Source organism: Homo sapiens, chromosome 5 (genome assembly GCF_000001405.40).
Source record: "Homo sapiens chromosome 5, GRCh38.p14 Primary Assembly".
Taxonomy (NCBI): domain Eukaryota; kingdom Metazoa; phylum Chordata; class Mammalia; order Primates; family Hominidae; genus Homo; species Homo sapiens.
In genome coordinates this window covers 104,241,444-104,254,228 of record NC_000005.10, presented here as the reverse complement: position 1 = coordinate 104,254,228, position 12,785 = coordinate 104,241,444, and positions in this window count along the sequence as shown.

Genomic DNA, 12,785 nt, shown 5'->3' with positions numbered 1-12,785 from the left:
TTAACCAAGATGGTGAAAATTCTGTACACTGAGAACTACAAAACACTGATTAAATATATTTAAATATGTGTGAGTATATATATATATATATATATATATATATATATACGTGTATACATATGTATATACACACATACACACACACACAAACTCTGGGTTCATGGATTTGAAAGGTATCTTATGTTCATGGATTAGAAGAATTACTATTGTTAAAATGTCTATACTACCCAGAGTGAGCTATAGCTTTAGTACAATATTTAATAGAAATATGCCCCTAGATTGTCTCTTCAATACATGGTGTTGGGAAAATTGGACATCCACATGCAAAATAATAAAATGAGCCTATGTTTTTTGTAAGCAACATGGTAAACCACAACACAAAAATCTATAATAGATTGCCTACAAGATAAAGAAAATTACCTCAAAAGACCAAATTAAAGAATGATTGGTGTGCAAGATGTAGTTTAGAGAAAGAAAGGGGTAGAAATCTTTTCAAGGAAATAATAACAGAAAACTTTCCAAAACATGAGAAAGATATACATATCCAGCAAAGGAAGGTCAGAGAACACCAAACAGTTTGGACCCAAATAAGACTATCTAAAGGCATAAAATTATCAAACTCTCAAACCTCAAGGACAAAAAGATACTCCTAAAAGAGGCAAAAGCAAATAAGAAAATAACATGTAAAGGGGCTCCAAATCATCGGGCAACAGACTTCTCAATGAAATCATACAGTCCAGAAGCCAGTGGAATGACATTTTCAAACTACTGAAAGAAATAAATTTGTCACCCAAAACAATGTATCTAGCAAAGTTATCCTTCAAATATGAAGGAGAGATAATGTTTTTCCAAGACAAAGAAAAGGTGAGAGAATTCACCACCACCAGACCTATCTTACAAGAAATACTAAATTGAGCTCTTCAGTCTGAGAGGGAAAAAAACAAAACACTAATGTCCAAAAAAAAATTGAAGGTATAATATCCATTGGTAAAACAAAGTACATGGATAAAACAAGAACTCTCTAATAGAGTGTGAAAATCTCTTATACCTCTAGTATGAAGTCCAACAAACAAGTCTATCAGAAACAATAATATATAGAGCTGCTTATTAAGAGATAGGTAATATAAAATTCATAAATTGAGACAGGTAAATGTCAAAATATATGTGTCGGGGGTGGAGTTAATATATAGAATTTAATTTCCATTTTTCTATTTGTCTCTATTCTTTAGCTATGATAAATTGTCATCTCTTTAAAATAACTTGCTATATTTAGAAAATATTTTTGTAAGCCACATGGTAACCGTAACACAAAAACCTACAGTAGATTCATTAAAAATAAAAAGCAATGAATGAATTAAAACATAGCAATGAATGAATTAAAACACATAGACGGACAGTAAGAAAGAACAAGAAAGGGAAGAGTTACAAAACAACCAGAAAGCAAACAACAAAATGGCAATAGTAAGTTTGTTATCAGTAATAACTGAATGTAAATAGATGTGATTACTCAATTAAAAACCTAGGGTGGCCGAATGGATAAAGAAACAAGACCCAACCATGTACTGCCTACAAGAACCCCATTTCACCTGTAAAGACACACATAGACTAAAAGTGAGGGAGCAGAAAAATACAGTCTATGCAAACATACACCACAAAATAGCAGGAGTAGTTTATACTTATATTAGATAAAATTGACTACATATCAAATACTGTAAAAAAGAGACAAAGAAGTCACAATATCATCATAAAGAGGTCAATTCAGCTGGAGTCAATAATGATTATAAATATCTACACACCCAACACTAGAACTCTACATATAAACAGCAACATTAATAGACCTAAAGGCAAAGGCAGACTGCAATACAGTAATAGTAGGGGACTTTAACACCCCCACTCTAAGTAACACACAGATTATTCAGACAAAAAATCAACTTCAGACACAAACTACACACTAGATCTAATAGGCATAATTGGCATTTAAAGAACATTTCACTCAGCTGCTGCTGAATAAACATTTTTTATCATCAGCACATGAAACATTCCCCAGAACAGATAATAGCTGAGGCACCAAAACAAGTCTATACAAATTCAAAAATGTAGAAATCATATCAAAAATATCTTCTAACCACAATGGAAAAAAAATAGAAGTGAATAATAGAGGAACCTCAGAAACTACACAAACACATGGAAATTAAACAACATGTTCATGGATGGTAAATGGGTCAATGAAGAAATTAAGAACAAAATATAAGAATTTCTTGAAATAAATACAAATAAAACTACAGAATACCCAAATCTATGAGATATAGCAAAGCAATACTGAGAGGGAGGTTTATAGCAATAAATGCCTATATCAAATAAGCAGGAAGATTTAAATAACAACCTAGTCATACCCCTCAAAGAACCAGAAAAGTAAGAACAAACCAAACCCAAAATTGGAAGGAATCAATAATAAAGGCCAGAGCAGAAATAAATAAAATTGAGGCCAAAAGAATAACACATCAGATCAATTAAATGAAAAGTTGTCTTATTGAAAAGATGAACAAAATCAACAAATATTTAGCTAGACTAGGAAAAAAGAGACAAGACCTAAATAAATAAAATCAGTAACAAAAAGGAGGCATAACAACTGAGACCACAGAAATACAAATAATCATGAAAGAATATTACAAACAACTCTATGCAAACTTAGGGAAAAAATGAGTAAATTTCTGTACACATACAACTACCAAAATTGAACCACTAAGTAGAAAATCTCAACAAACCAAATGAGTAGTAAGATCAAACCATAATTTTAAAAAGCCCCGGACCCAATGACTTCACTGCTGCATTCTACCAAACATTTAAAGTAGAACTAATACCAATTATACTCAAAATTTTATAAAATTGAAGAGGAGGGAATATTTCCCAACTCATTCTGAGACCAGCAATACCTTGAAACCAAAAACCAAACAAAGATACAAAAACTACAGGCCAGTATCCCTAATGAATATAGATGCAAATATCTTCAAGAAAATACTAGCAGCCCAAATTCAACAAAATATTAAAAAGACCATTCACCATGATCAAGTGGGATTAATCCTAGGGTTGCATGAATGGTTCAACATACACAAATCAATAAACATAATACATTGCATTTACAGAACCAAAACAAACAAATAATTATTTCAATAGATACTTAAAATGCATTCATAAAATTCAACATCCTTTTATGATTAAAAAAACCTCATCAAACTGGATATGGAAGGAACATACCTCAAAATAATAAAGGCCATATATGACAAACCCACAACTAACATCAAACTGAACAGGGGAAAATTTGAAGGCCTTTCCTTTAAGATCTGGAACAAAACAACGATACTCACTTTCTCCACTCATATTTAACATAATACAGGAAGTCCCTACTGAGCAATTAGGCAGCAGAAAGAAATAAAAGGCATGTAAGTTGGAAAATAAGTCAAATTAAACTTGTTTGCAGTTACATGATCTTATACTTAGAAAATCCTAGAGATTCCACCAGAAAACTATTAGAACTGATCAATAAATTCAGTAAAGCTGCAGGATACACAATCAACATACAAAAATCAGTAGCATTTACATATGCCAATACCAAGCATTATGAAAAAAATTAAAAAGTAATCCCACTTACAATAACTACAAGGAATATAAAATACCAAAGAATCAATTTAACCAAAGAAATGAAAAATCTATCCAAAAAATCTATAGAACACTGATGAAAGACACTAAAGATGATACAAAAATGGGAATATATTCCATGCTCATGAATTCGAAGAATTAATATTGTTAAAATAGCAACACTACCCAAAGCAATATACAGATTTAGTGCAATCCCTATCAAAATATCAATTACATTTTTCATGGAAATACAAAAAATCTTAAAATTTATATGGAACCACAAAAGACCTTGAATAGCTAAAGCAATTCTAAACAAAAAGAGCAAAGCTTGAGGCATTACAGTAAAACACAGAGTATGCAAGAAACCGAAACAACTCACCAGCAAAAAACTCAAATAATCTACTAAAAATTGGGCAAAAGATCTGAATAGTCATTTCTCAAAAGAATCCATACAAATGTCCAAAAAGTATAGACTGCTGCTTGACTAAGTGTATCTCGAAGTAGTATATGTGGGCCTATCTCTAACTTTATTCTTTGTAGTCTATTCCATATAAGATTTGGAAAGCTCCTGTGGTATGCTGAAAGTGATAATGAGGAATAATCTGAGCACAGTAAGCTCAGATCCCCACGGACATTGTAATAAAACTATTCCCTCCTTCTCCAATAAACTGTGAATTTGTACAACTCATTCTGCTTTTGACAATGCTAGGTTGGTCTTTAATGTATCTACTTTAATTTTGGAATCTGTAATACAATTTTATAGTAATGAACCTTTAGAATATATTTCTCATCAAAATAATAAATTATCTTCATAGCAAAATAGGCATTTACATTCCTAAACTTTTGCTACTTTAGAAGAAAATCAAGTAAATGTCTATGAAATACTCAGTTGCCTGAAACTTCTTAACATAAGCATTTATCCTATAACTCCTGCTTTTCTAAAGGAGATAAAAATTATCTTTCTTAGCAAGTAGTTTCTTGCAGAGAACAATGACCATATAGAGATGACAACAGTATTAATTGAAACTGATCATGCCCATTTATGAAAAGCAAGATTGGTCAGAGGGTGAAATATCCCTTATTTAAGTTCATTGCAGGATATATATTTTTAATTCCTTATTATATCAATGGTAACTTTCTTAAACTTATGAATCACAAAATTGATTTTTCTCTTGAACAGGTAATCTACTAGAATTTATTATTGTCTAAATAAAAATAAGTCTGTGGTTGATCAAGCTATGAAAGTCAAACAATTTTTAATTTTCTTTTTGGCCCAGAATTATAACAAAAAAGGAAATATTTATGACGACTATGGATCATGGATAAGAGAACACGCATGACTTTTTATCTGCCTTGAAAGAACAATTTCTGCATTCAAGCAGCCCTCTACTTGGTCTCAAAATGATCGGCCTAGGTGTCCAAATAGTCCACGAAAAGATACTAGGCATCTTTCATTTCTCACCTCCTTTGGTGGTTTTTAACAGTTTTGGCTTAATATGTTTAGGAATCCACTTCCCTATTTTGCTATTTGGACATAAAAGATAAACAAGGCAACAAGATTTATTTTGCATTCTGGTTACATCCAAGAAATTAAGTGATAAGCACTGCACCAGCTGAGTTCTCTAGAGATACTTCTATAGAATTATGCATTTACTCACCATTTTTCAAGTAAAAAATTTTAAACCCATACACTAATTCTTATTTAACCTAGAACAACAGCAATGCTTCCTCTATATTATTGGGTCTATTATTTCTTTTTTGTTTTTCTTTTTTTTTTTTTTTTTTTTTTTTTTGAGACGGAGTCTCTCTCCGTCGCCCAGGGTGGAGTGCAGTGGCGTGGTCTCGGCTCACTGCAATCTCCGCCTCCATTGGGTCAATTATTTCTAAATGCTGTTTTTGACCAGGAGCACATTATGTTCATTTTTTTCCCCCACTTCCACCAGCTTCCATTTCCTTAGCTTTGTGTTTTAGATTTCATTATTTGACTCTTCAGCCACTACTGTACCAACAGGTTAAACTCCACAGTCTCTGTGAGATCAAAATCTCAGAAACGACTTCTCAGCTAAAATAGTTAATTACCTTCCTGCAAACTGGACTTTCAAATCCCTAGATAAACTCTACCCTTCACATCTTGGAAATATATGATATTTTCTAGTGGAGAAAACTGATAACCTCTTTGTACCCTAATTTCCATTTGTCATCTAGACACTTTAATGTGAATACCACACAGACATCTCAGATTCTTTTTGCACAGGTCTATTTTTCTTTAAAATACTACTGTTATTTTAGTTCCCTTAGCACATGAGAATCTTCCTTGACACGAACCTCTTCCACATTCAACACATTAAACTCATAACTAAGTTTTTCATGTCCCTAAGTTCTTTAGGGACATGTTCACATTTCTCAAAAATCCAACTGTATTAACAGTCTGAGATATCATCTTCTCTCAGCTAGATGAGCTCATTTATCCCAGCTGGATGACCTTTACAGTCTTAAATTCTCTCTTCTACCAGATTTGGCCCCTACAAGCTATTCTCTACAGAGTTGCCTGAGTGATTTTTCTGAAATTCAATTTGATGATTTAATTATGTAAATCTTTTTTTTTAAATTTCAGTTGGTTTCAGGGACTCAAAAATATTTGAGAACCTGGCCTCTATCTAAAACTCCAACTTCATCTCTTCATTCTTCACCTAGTCATGATTATTTTCTCTATATCCTCTCACATTCAAGCCTTTATGTTTTCTGTTCTCTCTGCAAACTTTGTTAATCAAAGATTAATGAGTTCAGTGGGGGCAAAAATATAACGATTTTCTAAGAAAAAAGTCTGCTGATTGGGGAGGCACAGAATTCAGTAAGGTGAAAGTACATTCTCTGTAGAAAAAAAAGTGAAGATCTGGCTTAAAAGGGGAAAGTTCTTACTCAGGTTCTCAATCAAGTCCGTTTATGCAAATCAAAGATTCAAACTTGTTTGGTTCTGATTGGTCAAAATAGGCAAGCCCTGTTTGGATGGTTTACAAGCCCCAAACCAGAGGTCTCTGTCAGATGTTTCTTTCAAATAACCAGTGGGGTAGGCGGGTGTTGGCCACAGTTTATCTCAGCACCCACAACAGGAACTGGTTTGGCTTGATTGTAGAAAGGAAGGTCTTGTAACACTTTTACAACATCTTTCTGATAACATACAGTATGTGACTCCTCCCTCACCCAGCTATGGCTGCCTGGTTTGCCTTAACTTTAATCATCTTAGGTAACTACGGGGAGTCCATTCTCTCTGTCAGCCAGGGGCATAATTTAACACCTTGCACCCATCTCACTATGAAATCTCTTTGGTTGCCAAGCCCTTTCACTCATCTATTATTTATTCTCTATGGCTTTTTGGCTGCCTACTATACATCAGTTATATATTATACTGAGTGCTAGGACATGCTAAGTGAATAAACATCTCTTAAGTTATATATTTATACTAGCATGTATTTCAGGTGTCAGTTTAAAACTTCAAATTACTTGAAGACTAGATGAGTTACCATTATTATGTTTTCTCATAACAATGTATACTTTTTCTATCATAACCTTTACTATTTTATGTATAATTTTTTCATGTTTTCCATACAAATTAGAAACTAACTTTGCAAGGGTAGAAAACCAAAACTGTCTTGTTTATGACTGTATATATGACATCTGGCATATTCTAGCACATAGTTAGCATGGGGAGAACATTTTTAAGTGAAATGAAAAGATATATGGATGCAGTTGAAGAAATTATGTCAAGATACATTTAAAAGTGATCTGCCCATGACATAGCACTTGTCATTGCCAACAGTCCTCGAAAACAGTGACAATGTATTATGTAAAGTTAGTAACAAAATGGAAGCAAAAACTTAACAAAATGTAAAGGAATTTTCTGTGCATGAGTTTTTGTTTCTTTTTAAAGCAGAATGACAAGTTAAAAAACAAATGTACATGTTTCACATATTCATAGAATATAAAAATCATATCTAGGCTTCATAAATAATGTATTTATAGATTTAAATATACTATGAAATGAATATAACAAATAATGGAAACAAATTAAATTTTTGAGAAAATTATATGTACATGTGAAATGTTCATGTTTTGGTAAATGCAATTTCTATTATGAAAACTGACTTGAGAATAGATTTGGTGAGAGAAAAGAAAAAACTGTCTTAAAAACTCATTCAAAGAGGTTCTCTATATATGTACCTTTCATTTTAAGTAAATTTTCATTTTCACATTGTCTGTTATCTGTCTCTGTTTTGGCTCCATTCAGAGTATTAGGTATTAAACCAGATTTACTAAAGTCATGTTTTCAGTATATACTTCCCAATAATTTATATCATACATTCTGGAAATACAAGGGGGAGGCCTGGTGATATAGGTGATATATACTCTCTTAAATCTATGCAGCAGCACACTAAAACCTGATATGATTGTGCTCTTCCAGAACAAATTGGAAAAGCACAGGAGAAACAGAGTGGAAAGAGGGACACAATAATTTATTCCTGGATAATAATACAACATCAAGGCAGGGCACCATTGTTACTGCACAATGTATGTGATTCAATTTAAAACTCAAATACTCAACTTATAGATTGGCAAACATAAGTTCAGTATATAAATATTTTTGATTTAGGCAAATCATGCATTGATTTTTTTGCTCTTAAAAATATTTTTCTACTTTAGATAATCTTGCATTACAAAAGTGAATCTCATATCATAATTTCACTATTTTTAAAAAAATTTCCTTGCTGCCTAAGAGTACTTTTTTCAGGTATTTAAAATATTATTAGTTTCCAATATGCTATATTCTATTACAATATATCCTATTTCTTAATGTTGGTATCAAGGGACAACTCTAGTCATAGGAAAACCAAAATTTTTATATTAAAAAAGCCATAGTAAATTTGACCAGCAAATTCACTTTGGAAGATAGTTAGATAGATAAATAAAGTATTTTACTCTAGTGAACACAGCCCTTTTTATGGGAAAATACAGAAAGACTCACATTTTTCAGTTTCTCTGTTTCTCCCTCCCACTTCCCCCCACTCACCACCACCATCACTCATCTCCCATATACACCCACTTCATTCAAGAAATGAAAGATGAGCATGAGAAATGTCAGCCACAATTACTCCAGTCTTCCTCTTTTGATATTTTGATTTTTTCATTCCTCAACTGCTAAGGGGACACAATTTGAACTTAAAAACCTTTTTCTAGCAACTGAGCTTTGATTATGCAAGGACATGCTAGTGTTACTTCAATCTTTCCTCTATCTCAGATTGATGATAATAATGGGAAAATCAGACTATCATACCCTCAAACACATTATGATTAAAAGAGTGCTAATCTCTTTTCAGGTCTGCCCACTGTTGATAATAAATATTAATATGACTGATATAAGGCACAATACAGTGGCCAGTAATCAAACTGCTGATATGAGAGTCCTATGAGAAATAAATGGAAGAATAAAAAGTTATGCCAGTGTAGACAAGTCATAAGTGTCTGGGGTGAAAGATCCTTAGCACAAGCTTATATTCTTTCAAGTGCTGATGGGAGCAGACTCCTAGTTAATGAGCCAAGGAAAAGTGGAAGAAAACTCCCCATCCCAATTAAGTCAGAGTGTATGATATGTGCTCACTTCCATTCTCCCTGCACTGGCATTTCACCCACACCAATGTGGCCCTTTGCTTTTCCATAATATCATGGCAACTCAACACCTACAAAAAATCCAGATGTTACTTTGCAAAAACATTTTTGCTATCAACAGAAATCAGAATCTTTGTCCTAGTTATATTTCATTGAAACTATTTTTATACAGGACCTTTTTGTCTTAGGTTCTATTTACCTTTTACGTAGAGAAACAGCTGAATTAAAGGAAAAGTCTATCTGTCATGCAAAATCTATATCATATAAAACCTAAATTCTAAAGAACCATGGGAAATGTGTGACATGAAATGATTTCAAATATAGTAATTAGTAATTTTGAATATGTCTCTCATTAAATCACTTATTTACAATAAACTCTGAAATCTTGCAAATACAGTTATTTCTTTTTGACTCTCACACTTGGAAGATGGGTTGGAAAATTAGTTTTGAAGATGTATTGTGGTGACAAAACGAAGCCATTTATCCACTTTTCAAAAAGTTTCCAGTTTTTCTATTTGTTTTAGTCATTTAAAAATAATACTAGAACACACCCCATTATATACAGCAAAATATTTCTATGATTCCATGAAATATGGGCAGTTAATCACGTGTACTAGTACTACTACAAAACCAAATGTGATTCCTTTGACCCCTTGGTGATGTAGTTGGATTAAAGAGGAAATAGCTCTATTAGTAATTTCCCAAACAATGTTGTTTAATAAAGAGCCCCAATATTTCACTGACTTTGTGACCGCAAGTGGTTACTTTCCTAACTGTTGTGTTTTCTGGGTGGCTTAGCCTCAAGCTACATGTTAGGTTCAAGTCTTCTCTATGTGTCTTTTACTGGTTCCTGGAAAAATGTTTCATGAAGTAGTAATATTGATAATATTTATTCTGAATCTTAAAGGATAAGTGTTATGTTAAGTGTAATAGCCAGCCAAAGAAAAAGAATACTTTGTGCTCACTTTTATATGTGGAATTTTTTTTAAGAAAAACAAAAGTAGAATACATAGAAACAGAGAATAAAATGCTAGTTGCTAGAGGTGGGAAAGGGAGGTGGAATAGGGAGATGTAGATTAAAGTGTACAAAGTCTCAGTTTTATGTAGGAGGAAAAAAATCTAGATATCTAAAATATAGCACGAGAACCATCGTTAATCGTATTGTATTGTGTCCAGGATATTTTCTAACAGAGCAAGTTTAGGCGTTGTTACCACATGCACACAAAAAGTACCTATGTGAGATGATGATTATGTTAAGTTGCTTACCTGTAATCGTCATTTAACCATGTATCAATACATAAAAACATCATGTTGTATACTGTAAATGTATACAATAAAAAAGAATTAGAGTGATAATATTTTGGAGAGAACAATTATATTCAAATCTATAAGGATATGAACTATCTCATATTCCAAAAATTATTTTCTTTAACTTTTAACAGTAATTTAAATTTTAAATTATGTATTAATTTTGTTCATTCAATCAGTCAAAGAAGATTGACAACTATGTGCCAGACGACGTGTTGAAGATATGAACAAAATGGAGAGAAGTAAATAGACATGGTCCCTATTCTCTCAGAAAAATGAGAGAAATAATCAAATAATCATATCAGTAAACATCCAATAACAGACTCAGATAAGGGCTCTGAAGGAAATTATCAGAGCTCTCTGAGAATGTCTAAGAGGCAGCCTGATGCACAGTGGGGCAGTAGACACAGCTCCCCCCAGAGAAGTGATGCTTCAGGCAAGGACATGTTAACTAGAGGGGAGGGAGAATTTTAAGCAGATATGGAAATGTGGTAAAAACCACATGACTTAGAAATGATTGGATATGGCACGGAGGAGTAAAGAAGAGGAAGATTTTCTGGCTTACACTGTTTGATGTCTTATTCTTTTTCTTTCTTTCTTTTCAGTGGTATATCTTATGATCTCTCAATTTGTCAACAAAAAATGAAGAGATTAGACAAATCGTCCTCCACATAAAGCATTTTTGCCCTCATTTTGTAATTTCCTGTCTTTATTTCATTAACAATTTATTATTGAGGATAGTAGAATATAGAATTCTGATTTATTTCAGGGGTTGAAAGAGGCAAATATTACTTACAGCTTTGTTTTTTCTTCTCCATAAGCGACATACTGTGAATGTCATTTGTGTCTGAAAAGGTGTATATTTATTTTGGGGTGTTTACAGGTGATAGTACTTTTTATTTAAGTTTGTATCCTGTGTATTTTCTTTATTACATTTTTTACATACAATTTAATAAATGAATAAAGATTATTCTACAAAATAGACAACCAAACAAGTGATCAAATGATGAGCTATAGTGTCCTTATAAATAAGTTATTCCACAATAAAATGAAATTTCTTAAAAATATATTTTCTTTGTATTCTGGATTAGAAAATAAGAAATATTTCTAGGTAATGGTATGAGTCTGCACATGTGTCTGTGTAACAACAGGGCTTCTCAGCTATGTATCTGTCTTAACATATGTGACAATTGACATGCCTATTAATAAAAATTATATAACCATATACATTCATGGCTATACCATGACCCACATTCATGGGCTATACCTATGGTTAATATAGCACATATTTGAGTGGGTAAATATTTTTCATGGGTAAATAGTATTATGCATAGATAATGTTGATTCCAAATGCTTTTTTATGTCAATTGTTAAAGCCACTGGTCAGATATATTAAATTGCATCTTTTTCCTTCTAAATCTCTCTAAGTAACTGATTTTTCTAATGTCTAATCTTAACACATACTGTGACGTGGAGGCATTGGGAAGCTTATCCAAACTTAAGCAGAACTTCAGTGAAAGTGTTAAAGAAAATAATCTTGAGTAATACAAGCCTCAAATTTTGTGTTTAAAAAATTACTAAAGATTTGTTCAGAGCTCACTTTGTTTCTAGTCCAGGTTCCTTAAAAATCGCAGACCCAGAATTTCAGAAAAGTGTAGAAAGTCTTGTAAGTCTAACTCCTTTCCACTCTAATGAGTCCTGAGAGTGAGAAGGAAAATTGCAAATTTACCTAGGTAACAAACCTTCACATGTACCCCCAAACCTAAAATGAAAGTTTAAAAAATTGCAAAGGCACTAGAAAAACAGAATAGCATGGAGCCTTTGGTATCAGAAAAACCTGCATTCAAGTTCCAGCTCTCCCATCTACAAGCCTTGACACTGAGCAAGTGTCTTAAAGTGACTTTGTGTGAATTTCACAACTTTTAAATTGGATTTGTATTGTCATACAAAATGTAATGTATGTAAATCATTTAACATGGTGTCTGAGATCTGGCGCATATTCAGTAATGGTAACTAATATAATAGTAATAATGTAACATCAATGTCCCGATATTGTCTAGAGTAGGACTGCTTAATCTTCAACCTTAATCCTTAGTAAGGTTAATATTTCTGGCTAATATTTATGTAAAATTAATACATACATTTTACTTGATGGTACAAAGGTGTTTCAAATGCAGATT